Source organism: Homo sapiens, chromosome 5, assembly GCF_000001405.40.
Source record: "Homo sapiens chromosome 5, GRCh38.p14 Primary Assembly".
NCBI classification, from domain to species: Eukaryota; Metazoa; Chordata; class Mammalia; order Primates; family Hominidae; genus Homo; species Homo sapiens.
This window is the reverse complement of record NC_000005.10, coordinates 42,545,479-42,572,675: the sequence shown is the minus strand read 5'-3', so window position 1 is coordinate 42,572,675 and position 27,197 is coordinate 42,545,479. Positions and strand designations below refer to the sequence as shown.

The following is a 27,197-nucleotide window of genomic DNA, read 5'->3' as shown; positions in this document are numbered from 1 at the left end:
AATGTACCTGATGAAACACTGTGGCTTCATCCTGGGAACAAGGGACAAGAAAAAATGGATTTGCAGCTGAGGCTGAAGAAGTGCTCTAAGCCCCAAGGCCTCCTGGTCTGTCCAGAAGTTGCCAGACAGGGCACTAAGGAATACTCTCTTCGTAGGGTCAATTGCATCAGATTTCAAAGTGTGTTTATGTTACACATCATCACCGTCTTCATGCTGCTAACTACAGATGATGAGGAAGTTTGCTTTGGGTTTGAAGATGACACTGTTGACAGCATTATTTAACAATCCATGTGAGTATTGCCAGAAAAGTTAAAATGGAGCCACATTGCCTGCTGCTTGGAAAAGACGAAGGTGCACCCTTTTGTTGTGGCTGCTGGTGACTCTGCCTGATGACAAGCTAGGTGCACAGTACTGTGGATAAGCAGGTGGTTACAAGCCAAGTAGAGGCCCCAAAAATGTCTTTATTGATGACCCTGGCCTGCCTACAGTTCTATATCATATACAGTGTAAGGTTAAGGTTTAAAAGGAACCAACTCTCAGTAATAAACCCATTGACTTCGATGCACAGTGAGGAGAAAATCATCAATGGCAAATTCTTCATGAGATGGTTTTCCTTGGGAAAAGCTGCTGGGGTGACTGAGGAATCCTGGGCCCCTTGTTGTAGGGAATGATCTCAGGTAGAGGCTGGCTGGGCCAGTAAAGGCCAACATGGACTTCTGCACAGTTGAACTTGGGTTGGTCTCTAGCCAGAGGTGGACAACCAGGTGTGTCTATGAACAGGTACTCTTTGCCATCACCAAACACCAAATACGTTATGTCAACCTCATTCCTGTCTACCCCATAACAAGAGCCACAATTTAGGATACTGAACCAAAGTGGTGTGGAAACATTCTATTATATAACCAGGACTGGCTCTGTTCCCGTAAGAGCTGGCATCTAAGGCGGAAGACCAGAAATATACTCTATCACTGGCATGTGTGAATTTAACTAACATTCAGGGTTCTGAGTATTCTTGGGTGGTCCCACTCCTTCAATTTACTAATTAGCTGTGGCACAAATCTAATCACTCACACTGCCAGCTTCTTTGTAGGGGTAGGTCACTCATTTTCCGTGGGAGCCTAACCAACCTCCCAGACTCTGCCCAGCACATGGCTCTGCTGTTCTCAACTCATCCTGCATATATTTTATTGTATCCCATGAGTAAGTACATACTCTAGCAATGACAAAATATCTGGGGGATTGTCAAGGTTTTGGGATAGAGTCACACATGTCCAGAGACTACAATGAGGAGGGAGTTCAGACCTTTGTCCTTGCTGTAGACCCTCACTGCATAGTAGCCTGAGCCATACCACAGCCATACTGCAGAGCTGAGCAGACAGCTGCAGGACCCAGGGTAGACACAGGCATGAGGAGTTCAGAGAAATAGTACAAAAGAAGCGTAGCTTAGACACTCTGCTGTCATCCAGCCTCAGCATGTTTCCTCCCCTACAGAGTTGTTCTGTGCAAGTGCCACTTTAGTGCTAATAGGCTGAACTGTGCACCAGGACTTCACTGCATTAAACGTGAGTCATTGCTGATGATCACATTAATTAAAAATGCAGAAACTTAGAAATGGATGGAAAAGAAGGCACTGATAGTTCCCCGAGTCAAAAATCCACAGGTTAATTAGACTCTGAGTACTGGTAATTCTGTCTTCTTAACATCCCCGTGTTTGTGATCCATCTATTTTTTATCATCCCTGTCACACTTAGATTATCTCTCTCCTGACCTATTGTCATCAACTTCCTCCTCTAATTCATCCCTTTCAAATTCACTTTTATCCTATTACTAGTATTACTGACAAAGTAAAAATCTAACAGTATTATTACCTAGATTAAAACCCTTTAATAATCTAAGAGGATCACAATTAAATTATGTTTATTTCTCTGTTTTCTCTTCTAAAGACTGTGAGCTCCTTAAAAGCAGGAATATACATTCAAAATTCTTCCTTGGGCTGGGCACAGTGGCTCATACCTATAATGCCAACTACTCTGCAGGCTGAAGAAGGATTGTTTGAAGCTAGTAGAACTGTTTGGGGCCTGCACAACATAGCAAGTTCCTATCTCTAAAACAAAAAAATGAATAAATGCATGCATGCAAAATTGAATGAATAAATAAATAAATACATGAAATTCCTCCTTGAATCTGTAAAATGACTTAATAAAAGCTTCTTGAAAGACTTTTTATGTGTCATTATCTACATTGGCACCATCTAGATTAATCCAGCTTGCTGTGACCTGCTGAACTCCAACATCAAATAAATTCTGCAATATCAGGAGGACAAGGGGACAGAGGATTGCTGATGTACATGGACGCAGGCCATTGCACTAGAACACACCATAAGATTTCTTCTTGCCTCTGGATTATGGTGAAGACAGCAGCAATCAAAAGCTCTGTGGCTTTTTTCCCCACCTTCACTGTGAATGGAAAGCCTTGAAGTGTTCATTCTTGAACACATTTAACAGATGCATTCATTACTGTTTACTAACTGAAACCATGACTCTAATACTTGTGTGAAATATATCTGACATGTCTTGACATCCTCTCAGAGCTCTGTGGAACCTCAACTGTGGTGGAATAGAGTTTATTTTAAAAAATAAATTGTTGCTGTCTGATAGCAATGAGAACAGGGGTGTCTTTCCTTTCAAGTAAGTGTTTTGTCAGTGTGCATAGGTTTATGAAAAATGTTCAAAATATACAGAAAAAATTATTTTGGGGCTCTTGGTTCCCTTAGGATGTGGCATCTCATTCCTAAGTCTCTTACTTTGAATGGTACAGAATGATATAACACCTTTTGCAGAATTTGAGTGATGTCAATTATGTGCTTTGCCTGCAAGCCACACCTCACTGGTGTGCACATACATATACTATATACATATAGTGTACATATATATACATGTATATGTATATGTGTACATATAGTGTATGTATTACACACATACAAATATAAATATGTTGTATGTAAATATTATATATCAATATTACATGTAGATACTATATATGTTACATATGAATATCACACATATGCACACACACACACTATTCCATCATGCAGGTAGCGCTTTTGTCTGGCCTCCAATATTGAGGACTATTACTGGCTGGATATGGCATACACTTCCTCTTTCTTTTCTTCCTCTCCAAATGCTACCGATTTTTCAAGGGCCCAGCAAGTCTTGCCTTTTCCATAATGCCTTTGCTATCTCTGGGCCTTCTATAATTTGACTCAAACCTACTGACCTAAGTTTGCTTCCAAAGGGAATAATTACAAATATAGCACCTATGTACCACACACCCTGGCCAAATTAATCCTATGCCTTCCACGAAGTAAGTGCTCAAGAAATGCTTGTTGAATGTTAAATGCATAAAATAGAACCATCCATTGACTAGCACAGTAAGTGAATGAATTGTTGTCCATAGACATCTCATATCTACATCTGTACACTTCTGTTTATGTTGTTGCTTTATCACATAAGTTATTCCTGTAATAGCCTTCTGTTCTTCTCAGCCTTTTAAAATCTTAAACCTGACATTCTAGTCTCTAGAGAAACAATGTCAACCTCCTTCATGAAGCTGTAATTCACCACAGCTGAGGTATCCCTCACGTCATCATCACTTCTATAAAGTGTGATTCAAGCCATTTTGATAGTTAATATACAATGCCTGATATTGTAATTCTTGGTGTACATGCCTGATTTATTAACCCATGAAAAGTTCCTTGAGGGAAGAATCAATGTATTCCTCATAGCCATAGGTGCAGGCTTTGAAAATAGGAAGCTCTTAAGAATTATCAGTACACTGAATTTGTTGAATTAACTATTCTAGTCCACCTTGATCTATTCTTTTTCAGGGCATCTTGACCATTTCTCTTCATCACACAATCTAGACTTTAAAGGTATACAGGCTCTCATTAATTTCAAGACATTCCTCATGTCCCAGCTAGACTGAACTACAAGGCAGGGGCTTGCTTACTTCCACCTTAGGTTACTGAGGTCAAAGGGTATATTCAAGGGTAGACTGATTGAAATAGTAGAGATATACGACCTAATTTATAACAGGCACTCCTTGGAAGAATACTTATATCCATTAGATCTTTATGCACATTTCTCATTAGCAACATTATTCCAGCAGCAGCAATTTTGATACAATCAGTTGATAGGTCAACCATGTGAAGCCCTTTGAAAACAAGGCATTGTGGATCATTCCTGATTTTGGAATAAAAAATTCTCCTCTAGACTATGTAACTGGCTTTGAGGAGCAGATATAGAGCTTCATATTAAGGATGAGAACTTCATATTAAGGATGAGAGACAGAAAACATCTATTACAACACTTTAGCTAACACAATAACGGCACTGTTCAAATTTAGTTCTCATTAAATTTCCCACAGGGCAATTAGATTTAATAAAAAAAAATCCTTTCAGGGCCAGTATATTTCTAATTGCTCATCTGCCCAAGCAAGAAAATCCCTGCTCAAGTGCTACCCTTCCCTACGCATACAGGTCTGTCATCTTCTACCAGCTCCTGGGTGACTTTTCTCCAGGTGATGCTTCCAAGATCACTTACCCATCAATGCCACATCTTTCACTGAACAAACTGAATTCAATAGTAGTATCTTTTCTTTTTAAAAATTTAATCTATATTTTTAGTCTGCCTTATTCAATAGGAGACACAATAAAAATAAAATGATTTGGCTACAATCCAGACCTGGCAGAAAAACAAACACATGGTCCATAAATATTATCTGAGACTGACCCATGTCATGTTATGCAGTAACTTTGGCTGAACCCATGAACCCATTCATTAGATAAGTGGCCAGAACTAGAACACACACACACACACACACACACACACACACACACACACACACACAGAGCCAAGCATGCACACACACACTGGAACGTGCTTACATATGCCTTCTTACATAAACATCATGCCCCATCCTTAATCCTTAGACCATTTTAAGAAAGGATTCTGGAATATGCACATATTCCAAAGGAAAAAGAAATATTGGTTAGTTCAATAAGACAAAAAAAAAAGAGACAAAAATGTTCTTCTTTGTTAAATTACTTCTTATGCGTAAGTACTGGTAGGATATGTGATTTGTGTTTAGTATAAACTATTGCATTTGCTTATATTCTGCTCTCCCTGAACAAATAAATGAATCAAACAAAACTATTAAAAAGAAAAACAAAAAGCAAACATTAAAAGCAACTAGTGATGTTTTCTCTTCACTCAGGAACTCAAAGTTTTAGTAAAATGTCGAAGCAGCTGAAACAGATGCTCCTTGCAGACTTTCTAGTTCTAAAATGTAATTTGAGCTCTAATCTCTCAGCTGGGGATGCATTTTTAATTTTCTTTAAAGATTTCCTATGCCATACTTTTCATTTCACAAGTTTTTTAAATTCCTCAAATCTTGCCCAGTGGAGTGAAAGTCACCTTAATGAAGAAACGAGAGATTAAGCCACCATGACTTTGGAACAGCAGAGGATCTCAGCTGCAATTCTTTGGCTCAGAACCAAGGTCTAAAACCAGCCATGGGAAAAGCTGCTGAAATGGAGCCTGCAATTCTCTCCATGTTTGACTTGCATAATGTTGACATTATAACGCCAGAGAGACCAAAAAATATTTCCAACAATTATGACTCTTTTCTATAAATATTTTTAAATTGCTTTAAGAGATAAAATAACATATTTTACTCTTCTCATTTTCTAAGTGACTGTGGTCACCCTCAGCAGCTCACTACTACGGATTTATTTTTGGCTAGAAGGTCAGGGAGGACATCTTAAGGCGCTAAGTCTGCTGTTAAACTGTGTTTTCCAACATGAGCTGAATGGTGAGAAGGGGAGTCTGACACTCTTAAAGCAACAACTAAATTCAGTGTCATAGCATGGGAGAAATATATTCTTTCTTTCTTCTGTAGAAGCCCAGGCAAGGAAAAACATCAAGTACTCATTAAAAAAAAAAAAGTCTCCCACCCGTTAGAGAGCACAGTTTTCTTTCTGACAGAAAAGTTCCTCTTCCCTTTCCCTTCTATTACTCTTCCTTGTTTTAGTTAGGTCTGCTATGAAACATAGTTTAAACATATTGAGACTTCTCTACAAGGAGAGGGATATAAAAAAGGGAGGGAGAATTATAGAGATGGGGAAGGAAGCTCATAATTTCTGGGTATATCATTCAACTATTTCAGGTGTCTCTTTCCTCAACTTAGCCAAATGGTAATCACCCAGAGAGTGAGAAGTGAAATTCATTTGAAACCTGCAATTTCTTTTCTCTGAGAATATGATTAACAAGCCTGAATTCTGAGCTCTGGAAATAGATTAGATATCCTTAGTCACAGATGAGCTGAGTGAACAGTAAGCTAATAACCCTTCAGTGTAATTTCAATATCTCTCCCAAAGCCTGAGAACAAGAGACCTGGCTTGTCTTCAACATAAATGTCCTCAGCATGATTTGTAGTATTAATTTTTGATATGAAAACATCAGATGCCAAAGTTGACTGACTACTGCATTCCTCCTAAACATCCACAGAAAAGTCCTACTAGTTTCTGATTTTAAAGCTAAGTCAAGTTTCCTTTTTGCTGCTATGTAAAACTTGCATCTTTTAATAAAATCATCCAAAAAACTTGGATGTAGCGAATACAGTTCAGTGTTGTTTCAAAACACTGAGGGTGGAAATGGAAAAGCAGAACTCACCCTCACTTCCAGAAAAAGCATCACTTGATCCTGCCAGTGCCAAGGTCAACAGCAGCTGCCAGAGATCCATACCTGTAGGACCTGCAATCACAAAAAGGGTAAGGTAAAGCCCAGCAATTAAAAGCAGACCATTATCATGAAATACTGTTTAAAGACTGGGTAAGACATGAATGAGCTGACGAGTCAGTTCCAGAAGGAATCCTGGTAAGTCTTTCACTGCCCCAGAGTCTCATATTGTCCTACTTTTCATGAACTCAAACAGCAGGTTGTAATAAATTCTACTTCCCGTGAGTGCTAGTCTCAGGAAATAACATGAACACTAGAGATGTTCATACCCTGGCTCAAAGCCATAGAAACACCTCACAGCAAACGACCCCCATGCACAGCTTCAGTAACAGGGCCAGTAAGGTTTGCTTTAATTTGATCTGGAAATAGAAAACCTTATCAGCAGTATCAGAAAGCATGGGGCCTTGAGCTGGACAGGCCATAAAAGGAAAAACATAACAATCATGGTAATAGTAACATTTCATAAATCTGTTTCCCAGTGAACAAAAGAGCTCAAACCACTCAAAACGAGTTGCTAATGAGCCATCCTAAAGAGGTTTAACTAGAAGGGAAGCAGAAAGAAGGAGGGAAGCAAAAGGAAACAAAAACTCCCTAGTAAAACTAAAAACCCACAAGGACACAGTGTGTCGTAGAGAGGTTTTATTTTCATGAGGAATACAGATCTGAAAGACCCAGGAATGTGAACACCTCAGACACCAAGAGGGATGCGTCTGTGGCTTTGCTAGCCATTTAGAAGCCCAGTGTGGCCACACCTGGAGCCCTTCAGTCTAACGGAGAGAGTAGATCAACACTTCTGTCAGCACAACACCTCAGTGACCATACACCTTTATCTGGAGGAAGGAAATAAGCTTTTCTAGAAAAAATATACCAGGGTGTCCACATCCCGGATCTTCTGAGGCAAGTTTGGGCTGGTTGAAAATGAACTCAGCGTATTGCCTTTTGTAGAGCTGTTGCTGTGTCTGACAACTAATGCCAACTACTTTAAAGCTTAGCTGCAACATTTCCATAAAATTGCACTATTTACAAGTTACTCAGAGACTTATCATCATACCAGGAGCTCCACGAGATCCTCTACTGGCTTCATTTTTATTACTGTGCAAACCTGACCTAATGGAATAGCCCTTCATGGTATCCCTAATCAGGCTGAAATAATGAGCAAAGATGTTTTTTTCCATGGGCCTACAGATGTGGCCCCCGGCAATGGCTGTGTAATTCTACATAGGGATAAAATTCTTGACGTACTTTAATTTCTAGACAGCAGAGGACCTATCTTTTTTGTTCCATATAATTTTGTATTCTTAAAAATTTCTTTAAAAAAGCACATCTCTATGTAAACTAAATTGTCTTCTTGTATCTGAATCCCCATGTGCAAATCCACATGCATGAGGAACTCTCCTTCATACACTACTTCATGGAGTCGTTCATAGGATTGAGTGTAAACATGCAGATGAACACACTTTGTGAGATTTCACGTGAGAAACATGCAGATGAACACACTTTGTGAGATTTCAAATAAATCTCACACATTGTGAGATTTCAAATAAATCTCACACATTGTGAGATTTCAAATAAATCTCACACTTTGTGAGATTTCAAATAAATCTCACACTTTGTGAGATTTCAAATAAATCTCACACTTTGTGAGATTTCAAATAAATCTCACACTTTGTGAGATTTCAAATAAATCTCACACATTGTGAGATTTCAAATAAATCTCACACTTTGTGAGATTTCAAATAAATCTCACACTTTGTGAGATTTCAAATAAATCTCACACTTTGTGAGATTTCAAATAAATATGAGTTGTGGTTTTTACAACATTCATGTTTTTAATTCCTAACCTGGAAGGCCTTGAGCTGATGGCCTTTCATCATCCTCGTCTACTTTGCAAATGAGAACCACTGAGCATCTCTCCCTCCCAATGTCCTTTACTCCTAGGTGAACAGGCTATGTAATCAAAGCTGGAAACCTCCAGCAGAAATATATTAAAAGGCTGAAAAAAAGTTATAGGCTAAAAATGCCATCCTGTTGGTAACTAAATATTTACTTTGCATTTGATTCTGTCTCTTTTCTTTTTTTGTTTCACTCTGTTGCCCAGCCTGGAGTGCAGTGGCACGATCTCAGCTCACTGCAACTTCCGCCTCCCAGGTTTAAGCGATTCTCCTGCTTGAGCCTTCCAAGTAGCTGGGACTATAGGTGTGCACCACCATGCCCAGCTAATTTTTGTATTTTTTTTTTTTTTTTTTTTTTTTTTGAGACGGAGTCTCGCTCTGTCGCCCAGGCGGGACTGCGGACTGCAGTGGCGCAATCTCGGCTCACTGCAAGCTCCGCTTCCCGGGTTCACGCCATTCTCCTGCCTCAGCCTCCCGAGTAGCTGGGACTACAGGCGCCCGCCACCGCGCCCGGCTAATTTTTTTTGTATTTTTAGTAGAGACGGGGTTTCACCATGTTGGCCAGGCTTGTCTCAAACTCCTGACCTCAAGTGACCCACCCGCCTTGGCCTTCCAAAGTGCTGGGATTACAGGTATGAGCCACCGTGCCCAGCCTGATTCTTTTTAAGTGGAGAAAGCACTGAAGAACTGGATGCTGTGTTAATTTTACTTGTTATCTCCCAAGACACTTAGTGTCAGGTAAAGAAGTTTCCAGTAGCACCTGCTATTCCAATGCCAGAGTATAACAGTAAATCCCCAATTCCCACGCAGCCTTTTCTGCTTCCCATCTGAGCAAGAATGTGAACAGGTTTGCATTTCTCGGAAGGCTGCATCCTCTGGTTTGGAAGTCACCTCTTCAGACATCTCAAGGATGCCTGGCAGATGCCACAAACAAGTGGCATTTGCTTCAGTTGAATAGAAGATGACCTTCCTCCAATCCCCAAACTTTTGAAAGCAGCTGCCTGCAAATGAACTTCACTTCTTCCAAATAAAGAACTAGGTGGGGCGTGGTGGCTCATGCCTGTAATCCCAGCACTTTGGGGGGCCGAGGCAGGCAGATCGTGAGGTCAGGAGATTGAGACCATCCTGGCCAACATGGTGAAACCCCGTCTCTACTAAAAATACAAAAATTAGCTGGGCATGGCAGCGCATGCCTGTAATCCCAGCTACTCGGGAGGCTGAGGCAGGAGAATCGCTTGAACCAGGGAGGTGGAGGTTGAAGTGAGTCGAGATCGCGCCACTGCACTCCAGCCTGGTGACAGAGCAAGACTCCATCTCCAAAAAAAAAAAAAAAAAAAAAAAAGGAACTATAACACTTCCTTTACAAGCTGAACATATGTCCATAGAATGTGCTCTATCAAAACAAAAAACAAACAAGAATCCTCAACACAAAATTAACCAGAAATCTGTTTGCATACTCTTACAGCAGAAAAAAGTATTTAAAATTGCCATGCTCCCAAACAGGAGGTGAATGCAGTTCACTGCCGCCTGGAACACTGCATAGGGACCCGACTCTAACTAAGTGCAGGGGCCAGGAGGAGGATAAAAAAATGTGGATGGATTCAGCAGAAGATAAGGGCTTTATTAGAATCTAACTCCTCCCCTTCTCTTCCACTGATGTTGGCTCAGTGGGAATGATTCCAAAAGTAGCCCCATCTGCACTCCTCTGGAGAACTCTCTCTAGTGCCCTCACATGAGCCAGGCCACGAGACGTGACATTCAATTGGATTGTACACTGTCCACATCATCTTCACAGAGCCCCATATGGAAGCTTCTAGATGAGGGAATCCTTCTCTATTAGATTCTAGCTGAGACAAAATGTCCCTAGGAAACGTCAGAGTGCGGACACATGAAGTTTGGAACTTTAATGTTATCTAACATTACAATGTAATGATATACTAGATGTGAGAATAAGAAAGTCCCTCTATTCCCCTCTGCCAAGCCCTTTTTGCCCAGGTACCTAAACTTATTACATGTACCTTTTAACCCAGAGGTACAGGAGTCTACTCAAATGCTGTCATAAGAAGTTCTGTAACAATCTAAGTAGAGGATGGCATTGTTCGGAGGAATCTACTAAATTGGACCTTAGCCCACTGGGTTTTTTAAGCTTGCAATATTTTCCTAGGGAAAATCCCTCTCTAAATTTCTTTTGATATTTACACATTCTTTGGCTATAGCCTCATGGCAAGATTTTCAGCAGGAGGGATTAAAAAATGGGGTTCTATTCTTGCATAATGGAACTCACACCATTTCTACCCTCAAAGCCTGAGGCATTTTGTCTGCTCCCCATCTTTCTCAAGAAAAAGCAAGTTCAAAACCAGCGTAATGCAGCTGGCATGAATTTTAAATCTGTAGACTGCCCAGCAGAGGAGGCCTCCAAATTACATAATTAGGCCCATGATATACTAACTTATTCTTTGGCTATAAAACAGTTCATAAACACATGAGAAAAGATGAAGGTTAGATATAATACTTTTTCCAGCATGCTATAACCAACTCCAGGCAAAGAAAACAATATGTTTCATGCTCTTTAATTTAGAATTAGCAAGTATTTGTTAAACTACTAGTTCCTGCTAACACTGAGCAAGGCACTATGGAGATTAATGCAAAAGCAATCAAAATAATGGTTCTTCAAGAATAAGGCAGTACAAACACATGAAACTGTGAAAAGAAGGAGCATACCCGAAAATAGAAGGTCAGACTAGGGAAAAATCAGCTATCAAACTGAAGGGCTTAAAATTAAAACTAAATGACAGATAAGGCTTTGGTGGATATGGAAAAGGGAGAGAAACTGTGGTGAACTTGTATGGTAAAAGCTCAGAGCAAATGTTCTGGATATGAGTATGAATTCTGAGTATGTTTTGGACAATATTCTGAGGAAGCTGGTGAATAGAGAACAAGGTTCAAATTCACGAATAAAAGGGCCTAAAATTAGATTGGCGAGGTAGGACCAGATTAAAACAGCATTCTGAACTCAGATTGATCAGAAACTCAGATTTGTGCAAAAGTGGGTTTTCCTTAGGGTACAGCCGCCCTTCATGACTTCTTAACTTAATATCACTGAGAAGTATTGATAAGATTTGGTGATGATTGGATATGAGAGATGATAGAGACATGTCTATCACAAATAACTGAGTATGTGTGGATGAGAGATAGTGCTAGTGAAAGAAATCAGGATTTGGGGATCTGAGTTGGTTAGCAGGAGGAGAAGGTCATAGGACTGCTTTGGATACTTGGTGTTTTAAGGCAATTACAAGACTTTTGGAAATGTGAGAAACGGCTAGTGGGAAGCTGAAGGTAAGAGACCAAAGACTGAGAGACAAGGGAGGTCATTACTGGAGGTGAGAGAGAGCTAAATAGAGATGAGGAGTATCATGTGAATTTAATGTGAAGACTAGACTATTTGGTGACAAGTCTCCATAACACCTTTATCAAAAATTATATTAAAAGTGTATTGGCCAGGCGTGGTGGCTTACACCTGTAATCCCAGCATTTTGGGAGGCCGAGGCAGGTGGATCACAAGGTCAAGAGATTGAGACCATCCTGGCCAACATGGTGAAACCCCGTCTCTACCAAAAATACAAAAATTAGCTGGGTGTGGTGGCGCACACCTGTAGTCCCAGCTGATCGGGAGACTGAGGCAGGAGAATCGCTTGAACCCAGGAGGCGGAGGTTGCAGTGAGCCGAGATTATGCCCTTGCACTCCAGCCTGGCAACAGAGCGAGACTCTGTCTCAAAAAAGAAAAAACAGTTTATTAAGCCACACAGGGAATAATATGCTCATATCTGGTTTGTAATTTTGCAGAAACAAAACAAATCACCACCTAAAATAACTAACACCCTCTAATTTGTATCAAGTATTTTTTTTAAAAAAGTGATTAAAGCATCCTTAGAAGCATGATGTTAATAAATTAATATATGGGAAGAGTAAATGCCAACATTGATTACTAAGAAATATTGTGAAATTATATCTAGTTGATCTCCTTGGTGAAGCTTTTCTAATAATACAGCACAGAAAAAGGAAGAAGCTAACCCAAAAGGGCATTTAAAACTGCTGGTTTTCATTAGCACCAGGCATGCATTGAAACAGCTTGCTTTCAGAGTTCATGTTGTTACCAACTTTTTATGGTGATGATAATTTGGAAAATGGTCAGATCCAAAATGCCTTATGTGAATTTATTTCCTTCCTATGAGTGAGGAAGAAAAAGCTCACAGACAGTTTTGATATAACTACTTTTGCTGAGATTTCTCTCCTCTTGGAGATCCAGCAGGGAATGCAGGATGGGAATTTTAAATGTGTAACGTGTGAGGGGGGAAAAGACTTTTGGGAGTTGTATATATAGTAGGCCTCCAATTTTATTTATTTATTTGTTATATTATTTGTATTTTTACTTTTTGAAGAGACATGGGTCTCACTCTGCCACCCAGGTTGGGAGTGCAGTGGCATAATCATAGCTCACTGCAGTCTCCAACTCTTTGGCTCAAGGGATCCTCCTTCGTCAGCCTCCCAAATAGCTTGTACCATAGGCATGTGCCAACACACCTAGCTATTTTTATTTATTTGTTTATTTTATACACAAGGTCTTGGTGTGTTGCCCAGGCTGGTCTCTAATTCCTGGCCTCACCTGATCCTTCCGTCTCGGCCTCCCAAAGTGCTGGGATTATAGCCATAAGCCACCACATCCAGCCTAGGTTTCCAATTTTATAAAATAAGGATATATGGTATGTACCTGCAATGACCAATTATGTTACAATAAGTCACATGTGGCTATTGAGCACTTAAAATGTGGCTAATGCAATTGAGGAATTCAATGACAATTTAAATTTAATTTAATTAAATATGTAAGTCTATAACAGATTGGATATATGAACCCACTTTTTAAGCTTTACATTTTATGAAATGTAAATGCAGATCAAGTATTTATGATTAAAATTTAGCATCTAAATTCATATGTGCTATAAGTATAAAATATACACAGAATTGAAAGCTTAGTACAAGAAGAAAAGATGCAAAATATCTTGATAATGTTCACGTTGACTACAAGTTGAAATCATATTTTTAACTGCTGAATTAAATAAAATCCATTATTAAAACAAATATTTCTTATTTTTTAAATGTGATTACAGTCATGCATCACTTAATGACAGGAATACATTCTGAAAAATGCATCATTAGGCAATTCCATGGTTCTGTGAACACCACAGAGTGTATTTACACAAACCTAGATGGTATAGCCTACTACACACCTAGGCTATATGGGATAGCCTATTGCTCTGGGCTACAGACCTGTGCAGCAGGTTACTGCTCTATTGAATAGTATAAGCAATTTTACCACAATATTAAGTATTTATGTATCTAGACATATCTAAACATAGAAAAGATGTCATAAAAACATGATTTTATAATTTTATGGGACCAGTCCATCATTGAAAAGTCATTACGTGGTGCATGACTATAGTTGAAAATTTTAAATTACATATGTGGCTTGCATTTTATTTCTACTGGTAGCATTCGTATATACATTTTATGGTTTATATGTCTGCACTTACATTCAAAAACATTAAATGCTTACTATGGGCATATTTGCTTTCATAACAAAAATGAACAAATAAAGTAATTTTTTAAAATTTCAAATGACATATAAAATCATTATGGTTATGTTGTAAAAGGTCCTCCCAAATGCAGAATGATGGGGACAAAAAATTCACTAAAGACTTAGGTGACTTAGGTGTGATTGTATCTGTGGAAGGTTGCTTTTTTCCAAGGGTACTCAGTGTGCATTTGTTTACCTTCAGAAATACAATTATTATGTCCCGATTTGAATCATAGACAGTGGTGTACTGGTAAATGTTTAACACCTGTCTCCCTGGAATTTAAAAAAAGGGTCATGATTTGTATCATTTGCCAATTTCTGTGATGTAAATACCTCTCTCAGGGCTGTTTTTAAGCTACCAACATTAATTCACTGACTGGATTCACAAGCCAGAAGCTGAACCCAGCACAAACTGGCTGGGGAAGGGACTGATGCTATCTAGGCTTCATGTGAGGTAACAGGTACAAAGATTAAGCAATCTACTAACATTGATAAAAAATGTAAGAGACAGTACTGTTGAGTAAACCCTGGACACTCGATTTTATTTGATGACATCTGATCCACTGGCAGCTGATCACATTTAGTTAATAATCATTGAAAGATATTTTCCCAGGTCAGGAGACATTAGCTTCTACCACAGATGCTATCATTAATCTTCATTTACAGAGAGGGTGGGCTTGGGGTTAAGTGAATGTGCTTTGGAGTCACAGAGGGCTAGGTTCAAATCCCAGCTCTACCAAACCTCAGTTTACTCATCTCTAATATTCATATGATAAGATTTTCCCTTTTTAATAAAAAAATCAGGATTAGATGAGATAATTTATTTAAAGCATTTGGCATTCCCTCTGCATGTATCCAAAAGGGTTAGTTATTACACTTACTGAAGTCTTCTTGGTAGTAGTAACAAATAGACTATTTATGTTTTATTATGTTCCTATGGGGTATATTGAGAGTAGGGACCCTCATTTATATATCATGAAGAGGACATCTAGGCATGTGGTAGAGCAATCAGCAAATGTGCTCTTCGCCAGCCACAATATGTAAGACCCTATTCCTAAATCAAGCACTTACATCATATGAAGGTCCAGGAAAGGGAAGGACCATCATAATGTAAAGTGTATATCTCCTAGGATAAGGCAATAATACAGCCTATTTGTGCTTGGGTGTACAGGCAATTGTACATCTTCTATAGTGAGTTCCAATTGTGCAGGAAATACTTTAGGGGCTAATTCCTCCCTCGTCTACTTTAAGAAAGTTCTATGTGGTTGTCGTTAGGTTTGGATAATTTGTTTTGTGAAATCATGGATTTCTAGAACTAAAAATTAGATACAGAAATCCCAGTGACAAGACGCTTGGCTTGAAGTTAGAACTTTTCTTGGGAGAACTCAAAAAAGGCAACTGAGTTACAAGAACCTGAGTCTCTGTCTCTTCCTTTATGGAGGAGTGAAAGAAGAAGGGGCATGTCAGTAGCCAAATGCTTGGCCATACTCCGATATTGGTATGCACCGTTATTCTATTCAGAGTGGAACTTTCTCAAAGAACGAAGCATTCTGTTTCACTAGGACCACATTGCACTTTATAATGCCTCCCCGCAACTATCCCTGTGGATGTTTGTCAACTCACTAAGCTTGATTCACTTGGTGCACTAACGGATTCACAATGCAGATGTGATTGTTACATGAAAGAGAAAATCAATTGCATGGCCGCTTATTTGAACAGTATATTCCTTCTTATATCTTACTTTACACCATTGTCCCTACCAAGTAGTTTTTTCCAAAACAAAATTTGAAAAATGAAACCTCTTATTGACTTTCTACTTTTTTTCTCTTTCTACACGTGGCTCATTCTAAAATCTGATTTTTTAAATTACTATGATAGATCATATAGATCATGGAAAATGTTCCTTAAACAAATTTAAAGATGTTGGAATTTTCTTCAGACTCAAATTTGAAAATTTTGTTTTACCTAATCTAAAAGGAGATAAATAAGGTATAGGAGACAATTTCTCATACAGTGAAGTCTTCAAACAAAAACATTCATTATCTTGGTGAGATATAATCTAACAATGATTACTATAATAATTTATAGTATACTAAATACTTTTTATATCTTAAAGAAGTGCATGTATTCCTGCCTTCTTTGGAGTTAACAGAAGCGTAGGTTTTCAAAGACAGTTAGTTACTAGCATGCCCTAATAACAAATGGAGCAAAAATTGGAGGAAACCCCTCTTTCCTTTTATCGAGTCCAACATGGTAAAGTTATTCTTTGAAGGTAAACAAGTTGGGAAACCAAGAGTGAGGCAATGTGATCTCCCAGGAAAGGCATTACTAGAGGAGGAGTCAGCAATCCCGTAACCTGACATCAGCCCAGCATTGTCCGAGCTGGTGACTCAGGTAGTCATTTAATCACTATGGGTCTCAATTCCCTCACCTGAACACCCTTCTAAAATTTTGTTATAAGCCAAATCCTGCACTGTGCAGTGTAATAATAGCTGCCTTTCATTGACGGCTATTCATGTCCCGACGTTACCAGGCTCCTTGTCTTTCTCTTCTCTTAGCTGGAAGCAGTAGCTGTGTCTCACTCACGATTACATCCTAACAATTAGCCATAGGCTTGCCACAGAGTAGATGTTCACTACAACATCTACCCAAAAAATAAGTGTGCCAGGTACCTTCTTATTTCATTCAACCCTCAGACAGACCTTGCAAGAGAAAGGCTCATTTCACAAATGAGAAAATGGAAGTTTAGAGGAGCTCAGAGAGGTTAAGTAAATCTCCCAAGCTCACACAGACAGAATAATTCTGGGTAGGGTTTCGAACTGTGCTTGATCTTTCCAAGGCCTGCCTTTACTTTCCCATGCTTCTTCAATTGTGAACTAGGCAAACTAAACACACAATCAGGGTAGCAGTGAATCAGAACAAACTACAGGGAGCAAGAAAAAGACAGAGTAATATTTGGATGTGAATTATAAAGAGAGGTAGACACCATAATATTTTCAGTGCATAGGGCCTGTCAAAGACAGTGATAATTCATAAGTGCTGACATGGCAGTTTCTTCAAGGGCTGTATTACATTGCTCAAGGGATGTAATATTTATCGCTATGCCTTAGAACCTCCAATAGCACCTGGTCTACTTTTGGGTACATTACTCAAGAGCTATGCAGTGTGCTCTCTCCATGACATGGGGCATTATCCTGCCTCCTTTAAGCTTCTATGTAAAAATAGAAGTCTATTTGGCCAGACTGACTGGCTGCCAGATAGATGGCAAACACAGGGCAGATCAATATCATGTCTCATCTCCAGGAAGTTTACAGTGTACCCCTTCACTCTTCAGGATCAAAGGAGGTGTAATAGCTTGGACTTGGACCATTCATTGTTAATAGCTTTAATAGAAAATACTCCCTAGAAAAGTGCTAACAGAAATATAATGTGAGCCACAAATGCCAACCACATACATAGTTGTAAATTCTCTAGCAACTGCATTAAAAAAGTTAAAAATTGATATATTAATTTTAATAATGTATCTTATTTAACTCAATATATTCAAATATTATTTCATCATGTAATCAATGTAAGTATTAATGAGATATTTTGCACCTTTTTTCTCATACTGGATCTTTGATTCTAGTATGCCTTTTACACTCACATACATCTCAGTTGAAACTAGTTCCATTTCAAGTGTTTAATAGCTACATGTGGCTAGTGGCTACTGCATTGTACCATGAAGCTCTGGAACACAGAGAGGTAGTAGAAGTCCAAGCGGCCAGCTCCCTAGTTAGTGTAGAATAGATCTGTGTTTATTATTACTCACAAGGCAGGCCAAAGCTGCTGAGAAGAGACCTTCATACAGTTATTTTGCAAGATCTGATAATTTTTTAAAGTAGTAGAAAGAAATAGTCTTCCTACTAAAGCAAGAAGTAGGGTGTTCCAGATCGTCTCAACACTCACTTTGTACATAATTACTGAGCACTGAACTCTACATACAATTAAAGCATCAAATTTTTTTTTTTTTGTAGGACAGAACTTCTGTCTGTTACTAGTTATGGAACTTTATGTGACTAAGTTCTCATCCTCAGCCTCAACTTCTTTATCTCCAAAATAGAGTGTTTGGAACATATCAGTAGTTCTTAGCCTTGGCTGTATATTAGAATCACTTGCAGAACTTAAAAATCAATGCTCTGGCTTTATCATAGATGAATTGGATCAGTAGGATAGGGACTGAGTATTGATACTTGAAGATTTTTCTTGTATAATTCTAAAGCATGGCCAGGATTGAGAATCGCTGATTCAGTGCAAACCAAATGTGCTATATAACTTTTGTGGCAACAGAACTCATCTGCCCCCAAAAGTTGCCCCCACCTGAGCAGAAGAAGAGAAAAGAAATATCTCAATCTCCCCATTCAACCAATCAATTAATGTGCTTTTTTGCAACAGATGATGATTTATGGATCTATGTCAAGTAATTTTAATACTGAAATATGGAATTAAGATCAGAAAATATTATCCTATAAAATGGCAAATAAAAAGAATACACTTGTATAGATGAAATCAGCCGGCCACAGAAATGATCACTCAACGACAATATTTCAAAGTGTTGCTGATGAGACTGGGTAGATGGAATGCTAAAAGATCCCCCGCAAGATTACCATCCTGGGTTATTCAAACACTAATCTAGGTACTGCTGTGAAGGAATTTTGCAGATGTAATTAAGATGGCTAACCCACTGGCTTTAAAACAGGGAGATTATCTTGGATTATCTGCACAAACCGATGTAATCACCTGAGCCTGTAAAAGCAGAATGAGATATGGCAGAAGGGGAAGTCAGAGAGACTAGAAACTTGAAAAGGACTTGATCTTCTGTTGCTGGAAGAGGGTACATAGAATATTGTTGCTGGAAGGGGGTACATAGAATCTTGTTGCTGGAAGGGGGCACACAGAAACCATGAGATGCAATGCAGATAGCCTCTAGGAGCAAAAACTGGCTCCCAGCTGACAGCCAGCAAGGAAATGGGGAACATGGTCCAACAATGACAAGGAACTCAGTTCATGAAAACAACTGGAATGAGCTTGGAGGAAAATTCATCCCTAGAGGCCCTAACAACACTGATTTCTGCCTTGCAAACTCTAAGCAAGAGCCCAGTTGGGCCATGGTGTGCCCAGACTTCTCACATATGGAACTGTGGGACAATAAATGGGTATTGTTTAAGCCACTAAGTTTGTGGTAATATGTTATGGAAGCAATAGAAAACTACTACAGCCTTTAAGAGTCCATTATAGAGCTTGAGATTGACTGTAAACATTAATCAGGAAGATAATCACCACTGAAGCATGTCAATATTGAGAGGGGCATTTTTGCAATGTCTAGCAATTTTATTCATAAGGGACTTTAGAGAAAACTTAGTTCCATCAGTTAACGATAAGTGATAAGGAAATGTTGAAAAACTAGTAAATAATTTACAGCTTTGTCTCTTCCAACTACCTGGGACCAAAAAAATGTCCCAACACAGAGACAGGTGCAATAATTTCTCAAAGCTTGATGATGCTCTCCCTCATGACCCAATAGAGGGTCATTCAGTTCCCTCTATTCCAACTCCACAGTTGTCAAATGACCTTCTGATTCTTGTTTTCTGGGTTCACTATCTTTCAGGAAAATGAACACAGTAATCAGATGAAATGAAATTGCTTGACAGTGCCATAGAGAACAAACAAATATATTGGCATTTTGGTGTATTGGCTCATCTCTTAAGTTTGGCTAAGATAAATCAGGCCCCTAGAGTCTAATCACTTCTGGATCAACTGATACAATTTATTTATTTTTAAAAATTTTTTGAACATGTAAATCAACATAAGATGATCCCAGGGAAAGTTAGAAAGGCTGGAAGGCCCTATCTCCATCAGTTTGCTAGCTTTGCTTTCCATCTTAACATCAGGTCAAACCAGGAAACTTAAAAATAGGCAATGTGTTGGTAGGAAAGTAACAGCCAAGGTCAAAATCTACAACAGACTAGGGTAGAAGAAAAATACGGAAAAGGAGCATGTATTTATGGAGGAAAAAATGGTGTGGAAGCAGGAAGGCCAGTCTATCTTTGTAACATGTCCTTGCAAATCTTGGCTCAGAAGAGCTTGTTTTCAGTCCTCCTGAATTAAAAGTTCAGTTCCCAGGAGGCTTATGTTTACTGTCCTACGGGACCACCACAACATAACTCAGGAAATTATAATTCAATGACCTGGCCATGTTTCTCCTAAACCAGTTGGCTGGCCAAAGAGGTTTGAAATCAGAAGCCTGAGCCACTATTGATTCAGAGAGACTGTCCACCTACCAGGAAGCCAAAGGGACAGACACATAAACTTTATGTTACAGTCTACTTAAGTGAAATCAGTTTTCACATCTTGTAAAACAGTACCAAACCATTCATGCTCCCCTCATTGGAAAGCTATATGAATAACATTTTAACTTTTCAACCACTTGTGATCATGTTACCAGTTAAAACTTTACTCTCAAATGAGGAAGAAAACTTATAGAAAATCCTAGGGGGCAGTTTACATGGAGCATCATCATCAAAATGCTAAAGAACCAAAGGACATGTGCTTCAGACATAGGGAAATAATACACCTGGATGTCCACAGGTACCTAAAATAACCTCTGTCTAAAATAAAGTCAGCATTTCCTACCTGCTTCTGATCCCTACATTATGAGCATGCAGATTCATTTCTTCTATTTCTTATTTTGCTTAATGAGATCAGGGTTCACCCAGTTGGTTACTCCATCCCTTCTCACATTTAACTTGTCACCATGAGGGAGGATTCTACCTCTGCATTCTCCCTGGAACGTAGTACCTTCTCCTAGAGTCTTAGTCTCCTACCTTCTCTTTTCTCCAGACTTTCAACAGCCTTCTTCATGGTCAAGTTTCCTTTACTTTCAAGGCTACTGTTAGACAAATCAGGACTCTACCTACCCTTCAAAGTCACGTTCAAATATCACCACGTCCATGAAGCCTTCCAGACTCCCCACCGCAACTTAGCTGTTAACTCCTCTGTGCCTACATTGTTTTTTTTTAACCTTTACTATAAAACATTCCACAATATCCAAGTCACAAGATGATAAATCCCTGTGGGTGTAACAGATGAGCTCTTGGTGCCTGTGTTGCTGTTTGTAAACTTCTAAGGGCAAGACACAGGCCTACTGCATCAACTTATAATCCCCACTCTGCTCTCAATCACCAAAGCATGGGCTGTATTTGATAAATGAGCAGAAACATGTGACATGTATGCGTGCGGGAGGGGATCTGTCAGTGGATATAATGTCAGCCAGAGGCACTAGAGGTTCTCTTTCCACCTCAGGAACATCCAGACCACCATCTACTTGTCATTTCTGGATTTTTAGAAGTTAGTTCCGGTAAAAGAGAAAAGAGAGGGCTAGAAGTTGAGCCTCAGGCTTTGGGCAGCAGAACATAACCTGAGGGTGCCGGGTGTTGGTGCAAGAGAATTTCAGAAAGGTATGGAAGGTCCCAACGACATCAAAATTCTGCCTGGGCTCCACCTGAACAGCTGCTATGCCAAATAAACACTAAACACGTGCCCCTTTGTCAGGTGGCAGAACTCGGCTTCCCACAGTCCAGCTTCCCCCATCGGTGGCTACCCTCAGTCTCCTCAGCATCCCCATTCAAACTCCTCTCTACTTTTGAAAGACAAACAGGCAGAAAAATTCAAGAGGATAAAAAGGAAAAAACAGAGAGATTGAGATGTGTGAAGTGGTTCTGCTTCCCTTTTGCCATCAGTTCAGGACAGAACACCAATCACAATTTTTTTCCTTAGAAAATTATTTTCCATGTTCACTAGATTAGATTCCTTAAGACACAACTGTACTTCTGGCTGACATTAACTTAAGATAAATGGGCTTTCCTATTTCTCTATGAATCAGAATGTCTAGAAGCCTAGGGTTAGTAGTGATGGGGCCCAGGGGAACCTTGGGGAGGCAGGATCACAATGACAGAAGCCAGAGGCTGAACATGGCCCCGAGAACAGTGTTAGTCTAAAGGTTGCATTTTACAAATGGGGTAAGTTAAGCCCAGAGAGGTGAAGTAATGTGTCTAAGCCCCCGGAGCTGGTGCCGGCCAAGCTGGGAGCAGCACCAGGTCTCCTGTCCCCAGTCCAATGGGCTTTTTCAGTATTCCTTGTTGTCTTCAGCCTGCCACTATTTTCAAGAAGCACTTCAAGTAGCAAGAAGACACACTTACCCCAGGCTCATACGTGCTGTCATAGCTAATATCATTGATCATCAGGCAGACAATACAAACAAATCATAACAAGTGCGGGCACAAGGTGACCTGGCTCTTTGGCCTTCCCCAGCTGGCTGGTCGCTTGCCCACCCTCCCTGAATGAGGGTGAGTTCCACTTTCTACTTTCTTTGAAGCAATACAAGAGCCCTGGAGTAATTAAAGAAAGAAATTTACTCCAAACTAGCCCTGACATCTGGACTAAATTGGGCCTAAATTTCTGAAAATAATCCTCGTTAGAATCTTGCAAAAATGTATTCTTCACACTGACACCACAGTGATTTTCTTAAACTGCCAATTTATAGCCTCTGTTTCAAACCCCCCAGTACTTTTAGAGAGGTACATCCAGCCATGTGTGATCTGATGTGGCCTCTTCCTACCTTATCTTCCACCATTTCCACAAACCTCCCCTTTCTTCCGTCCACAAAGGAATCTTCTCAGAAGGTTCTGGGCTATTCACACCTCTGGCCCTGCTGCCTCCTATACTCTTCTCACTTAATCCATCTTTGCTACTCATTCCCCTAAACCTCAGCTCAAGGACATTTCAACTTAGAAACACCTTAGCAACAACCCCACTCCCAAGTGAAGTCAGGTGCCTCTCCTCTCTACTTCTATCACAGCCTTAATAAACCCTTATTACAGCACTATAAGGAATCAGTGATATTGTCATCTCTCTCCTGTGGCTCATCTTTATATTGCCCACTACCTAGCACAACCAGTTTTAAACAAATTGTTGAAGACATGAATAAAGGCCCATGGACACGGTTTTCAAAGAGGTGTTTGGAAGAGGTGGGAGAATGTCCTTCTGTTGAAAGCTCATGTGAATACTTTCCATTGAGATAGAATAAGTGGTGGTTCCCATCACATCAGGCATTATGGGATGGGTTTTAATCAGGCATGCAGTAAGAAACCCAAAGCATCAGAGTTAATCTGAAAAGAGGTATAGCAAGAAGCAGAAGGAGACAAAGCCCTATTTCTCTTTCCTTCAAAGTACTGACCATCTCTCAGACTAAAGATGCAAAATAAACATGCAATTGTGGTATCACTTCTCTTTACAATACTTTTCTTAATGTAAACTGTTGAAATGTAACACATGGAACAGAATTAAAACCCTTAAGTATTTCCTGAGTGCAAATTACTATCTCTGTTGACTTTCTCAAAATGTATCTGCTCTCTAAATGCTCAGAAAACTAGTCCTTCCTTCAGAGAACAACCTTTGAAAACCAAAATTATATCTTGATGGTGACCAGACAAGGAGGAAGGCAGCCAAAGGCTTTCTTTGCCTAAAAGAATACTTTATAAACTCCAGCACAGAAAAAAAGAAGTTTCGCTTAGAGTAGAAAGGAAAAGGGCAGAGAAGTAAGGGGAAGAGAGAACAATGAGAAATTAACCCAGAAGAGGGAAGAACGAAGTGGGAGGAGAAAGGAAAACATCTGGCCACAGCCATATATTAAAGATTTATATCTAAAAAATGCAAAAGTAAGAAAAAAAAAACCCTGACTATCAGCCTTTTAATCAAACAATAAGTAACAGTAAGGGAATACTAACCAATAGTCCGGCAGATATTGCTGAAATAGAGGCTGGATTTTCGTATTGTTTCCTCCAGGCTTTATATCAAGAACTTTTTAAATTTCCTTTTTCTTTCACTCATATATGCAAGCAGATCACATCACACTGATTTGGTTAAAATCTGACAGAGAGGGAGGGGTTGGAGGTGGGATCCCACAGAAGTTTCTTGGTTACCACTTGGCATGTATTAATCTCTAAATTCTTGGTCTTTCTGCTTTGATATATAAACCTTCACAAAATCCCTCCCAAATCAGTCATTCTCAATCTCTCTCTCTCATGCACACACACACATATCTGGTACCAGAGGAGTAAATTAAATCACATCAGACCATTGTCTCATATAATAAATCCCCTGACCTTTGCCCAGTACATCTCTGGGCTCTGCCTGCTGAACTGAAGGCCAGGCCTAGGCTGGAGTCTCATGAGGCCTATTACAATGGAGGCAGCCAAATCAGCTGAGAAGAGGGCTAAGCGTTAGAACTCAGCAAAGGCTCTGATCTGGATGGGTAGAAAGCAGTGATAGGGTATCTGAATCTGGTCCTTTCCCTTCTCTAAGGAGTATAAGAACAAAGGCAGAAGTGACCATTTGTGGTACTCACTGCTACCTCATTAAAGTACCCCAAATGCCCAGAAGATAGCACATTGTACATCTTGTAAATGAAGAAATTAATGAGTAAATGAATTCTAAAATTTCATTGCTCATTAGAAATCCTAGCATACTTAGTTTCATTGGAAACATTTAACCATTTGTCAGCAGTATAAAGTAGTTTACAGAAAACCCCTAGAAAACTGAAATTCCTGCATCTTAATTTAGTCCCCTCATCTCATCCCTTCAAAGTCCTAATCAACTAAGTATATTTTGGTCAATTGGGCAGAAGAACACAGCATTTAGAAAACGTAGTTTAGGGTTTTTCTGATTACCTTCTAGTAGAGGGAAATAGATCTCCTTTAGAAAGGGCTCACAAGTCAACTAAAAGGTATAAAATACTAAACATTTAGTGAATTACATACTCGGGTGACATAAAAAAAAAACCAGCTTTCTAGCTCTGGAGCTTTGCCATAATTCTTGTAGCTGCTCACACAGTTAGAACAATCATGACCATTCCCATCATTGAGTGTGGAGTGAGTTGCTGTACACACAAGACTGTGTGACTCATTTTCCTGTGTGTGACCAACAGTCCTGTCCACACTATTAACACAAGAAGACCGTTCATGATTTATGACTGCTTCAAGAATTAGCTGGGCCTTTAGCTGGTTACAAGACTCCTTCTGCCTGGCTTGCTTTCCCATGTTTATATGCAATAAACCATACTGTGACATGTAATACATACAAACCCTTTAAGATGAGAAACACTTAGAGGGGAAAATTCATTTTAATAGTTTAGTTGACAATGACTAGATTTGAGAATTTTGCTGATTGTGAATTGTGGCTAATATGTTTTGAAATCTTATTTTGAATGTGTAGAAACCACCTATCTGACAAATACCTCTAAATCACGTTTCTAAAACTAAACTCAGTGGTCCATAAACACCTGATCCCCAGAATTTGCAGTATAAATCAGAAACCTAGGAGTTATCTGGATGTCTTTTCTTCCTCCTCTGCCCCTGTTTCATCTTTTGATGTTATCTCTTCTGTATCTTTTGAGTCCATTCCATCCCCCTTTATCCTCACTACTGTTACTAGCCACCATTTCCCACTTGGGTTTGAGAATGGCCTCTTAACACTCAGACAAATTCTCTCCAATCCATTTATCTCACTTTCTCTTTCAGTCTCTCTCTCTCACACACAAATATGCTTTGAAACATAATTATCATCATGGCATCCTTCTGCATAAAACATTTAAATGACCTTCCTAGCACATGGAATTAATACCACAATCCATGACTTGGACTAACTAATATTTACTAGTTATCCCCAACTTTCACTCTTCCCATTTTCAGTTAGTAATAGAACCCAGTGAAAGGCATTTCTCAGCCAACCTTGCAGCTAACTGTGGTCACATGACTATGTTCTGGCAAGCAGGACCTGAATGGAAGTGGCATATGCATCCTTCAGGGCAATGAGCATCCCCTACACTTCCCCTCCTCACCCTGCTGGCTTGGATGCTGATGGGCTGGACCACTGAACACATGGATGAGGGCTATCTAGACTTGTGGAACATGTCTGAGACTCACTATGATGTTGGATCCCAGACAATGAGGGGTTATAAAAAGACAAAGGGCCAACTAGTCAGTGGTTTGGTGACCAGCCAGCCTAGATCCTTCTAGTTCATCCTTGAAAGAGAAAGATTTTTTCACCTCATTTTTCAGGCTCAATCGAAAGAGTAATGGGAAAAAGTAATCACACAACACTTGAGTGAAAACATAAGCTGAGATTTTATTCTTGATACCATAAAGAAAAGGAAATATACCTGAACACATGGCATTCTGATATGGCTTTTTCATGAGCTTTAGAAGATACTGCTCCTTATCTAAGACAGCTATAAATCCTATTAGTGTGCTGAAACCAAAAGTATTTGGAACTGTTAGAACTTACGAATAGTTTTATTTGGGGGAATTATTAAGGCCCACATAAATGCACATCTTTGTCAGATAGAAATTTGTTGGTTTAATAAAAAATAGGTGATACTCTGAGGCATGTTACCTCAAATCAAATTCCCAAACCCCAAGTTATTAGGGGCCTTATTAAATTTTACAAAATAATGGTTATACTAAGAGTAGGAAAGTGAAGGACTTTGGGAAAAGGAGCCTGGACTATATCTTTGCAGGTTTTTGTACCCAACCCCCCAAAACAAGTTTTATACTGAGCAATGTACTCTGAGATGGTATTTGTAAGACAAACATGAAGATTTCCACTTCAAACAGAATTTCAAGCGCAGACACTTCATATTTACATCAAGAAGATGAGCTAAATCAAAAGTAGGGGTACATGATGCTTGCTTGCAAGATGATCATTTTCCACAGAGCTAATTTTGATATTTTTTTCTGATTACAAATGCATAATACTTGCTTATGTAGAAATCTGTTAAG

The 27,197-nt window shown here is 39.3% G+C and overlaps 1 protein-coding gene across 11 annotated transcripts in view, besides 13 other annotated features; it reads right to left on the bottom strand.

Annotated features, from left to right (window-relative positions):
• Positions 1-27,197, bottom strand: part of GHR (growth hormone receptor) — a 298,440-nt gene that overhangs the window by 149,203 nt on the left and 122,040 nt on the right. For 6 of the 11 annotated variants that reach the window (NM_000163.5, NM_001242460.2, NM_001242400.2 and 3 more), the window contains one exon: positions 6,732-6,812. In NM_000163.5, the coding sequence (NP_000154.1) occupies positions 6,732-6,801 (70 nt within the window). In that variant the 5' untranslated portion in view covers positions 6,802-6,812. Of the gene's footprint in view, positions 1-6,731; positions 7,216-22,559; positions 22,597-22,978; positions 23,121-24,146; positions 24,227-24,524; positions 24,634-27,197 lie in introns of those variants that run through there. The other 5 variants (NM_001242402.2, NM_001242403.3, NM_001242404.2 and 2 more) reach the window with 5 other exon arrangements.
• Positions 22,545-22,928: a promoter, noted in NCBI's record as "384 nt fragment for V8P1". NCBI's record gives the evidence for it as "EXISTENCE:reporter gene assay evidence [ECO:0000049][PMID:17991764]".
• Positions 22,545-26,357: a biological region, named in NCBI's record as "GHR downstream promoter region module B". NCBI's record gives its function as "regulatory_interactions: GHR".
• Positions 22,923-24,321: a promoter, noted in NCBI's record as "BamHI/ScaI fragment for V4P1". NCBI's record gives the evidence for it as "EXISTENCE:reporter gene assay evidence [ECO:0000049][PMID:17991764]".
• Positions 24,316-24,625: a transcriptional cis regulatory region, noted in NCBI's record as "PvuII/BamHI fragment for NRR1". NCBI's record gives its function as "negative regulation of transcription" and the evidence as "EXISTENCE:reporter gene assay evidence [ECO:0000049][PMID:17991764]".
• Positions 24,316-24,625: a promoter, noted in NCBI's record as "PvuII/BamHI fragment for V1P4". NCBI's record gives the evidence for it as "EXISTENCE:reporter gene assay evidence [ECO:0000049][PMID:17991764]".
• Positions 24,419-24,450: a protein binding site, noted in NCBI's record as "GAGA site". NCBI's record gives the evidence for it as "EXISTENCE:protein binding evidence [ECO:0000024][PMID:21238539]".
• Positions 24,464-24,625: a promoter, noted in NCBI's record as "PvuII/KpnI fragment for -158 promoter; corresponds to PRR1 from PMID:17991764". NCBI's record gives the evidence for it as "EXISTENCE:reporter gene assay evidence [ECO:0000049][PMID:10715538]".
• Positions 24,464-26,357: a promoter, noted in NCBI's record as "BamHI/KpnI fragment for V1 promoter; similar to V7P1 (PMID:17991764)". NCBI's record gives its function as "promoter in HepG2 liver cells" and the evidence as "EXISTENCE:reporter gene assay evidence [ECO:0000049][PMID:9075743, PMID:17991764]".
• Positions 24,516-24,542: a protein binding site, noted in NCBI's record as "HNF4 site 1". NCBI's record gives its function as "postive regulation of transcription" and the evidence as "EXISTENCE:protein binding evidence [ECO:0000024][PMID:17991764]".
• Positions 24,620-24,852: a transcriptional cis regulatory region, noted in NCBI's record as "EcoRI/PvuII fragment for NRR2". NCBI's record gives its function as "negative regulation of transcription" and the evidence as "EXISTENCE:reporter gene assay evidence [ECO:0000049][PMID:17991764]".
• Positions 24,847-25,112: a transcriptional cis regulatory region, noted in NCBI's record as "BglII/EcoRI fragment for PRR2". NCBI's record gives its function as "positive regulation of transcription" and the evidence as "EXISTENCE:reporter gene assay evidence [ECO:0000049][PMID:17991764]".
• Positions 25,107-26,317: a transcriptional cis regulatory region, noted in NCBI's record as "XbaI/BglII fragment for NRR3". NCBI's record gives its function as "negative regulation of transcription" and the evidence as "EXISTENCE:reporter gene assay evidence [ECO:0000049][PMID:17991764]".
• Positions 26,214-26,240: a protein binding site, noted in NCBI's record as "HNF4 site 6". NCBI's record gives its function as "negative regulation of transcription" and the evidence as "EXISTENCE:protein binding evidence [ECO:0000024][PMID:17991764]".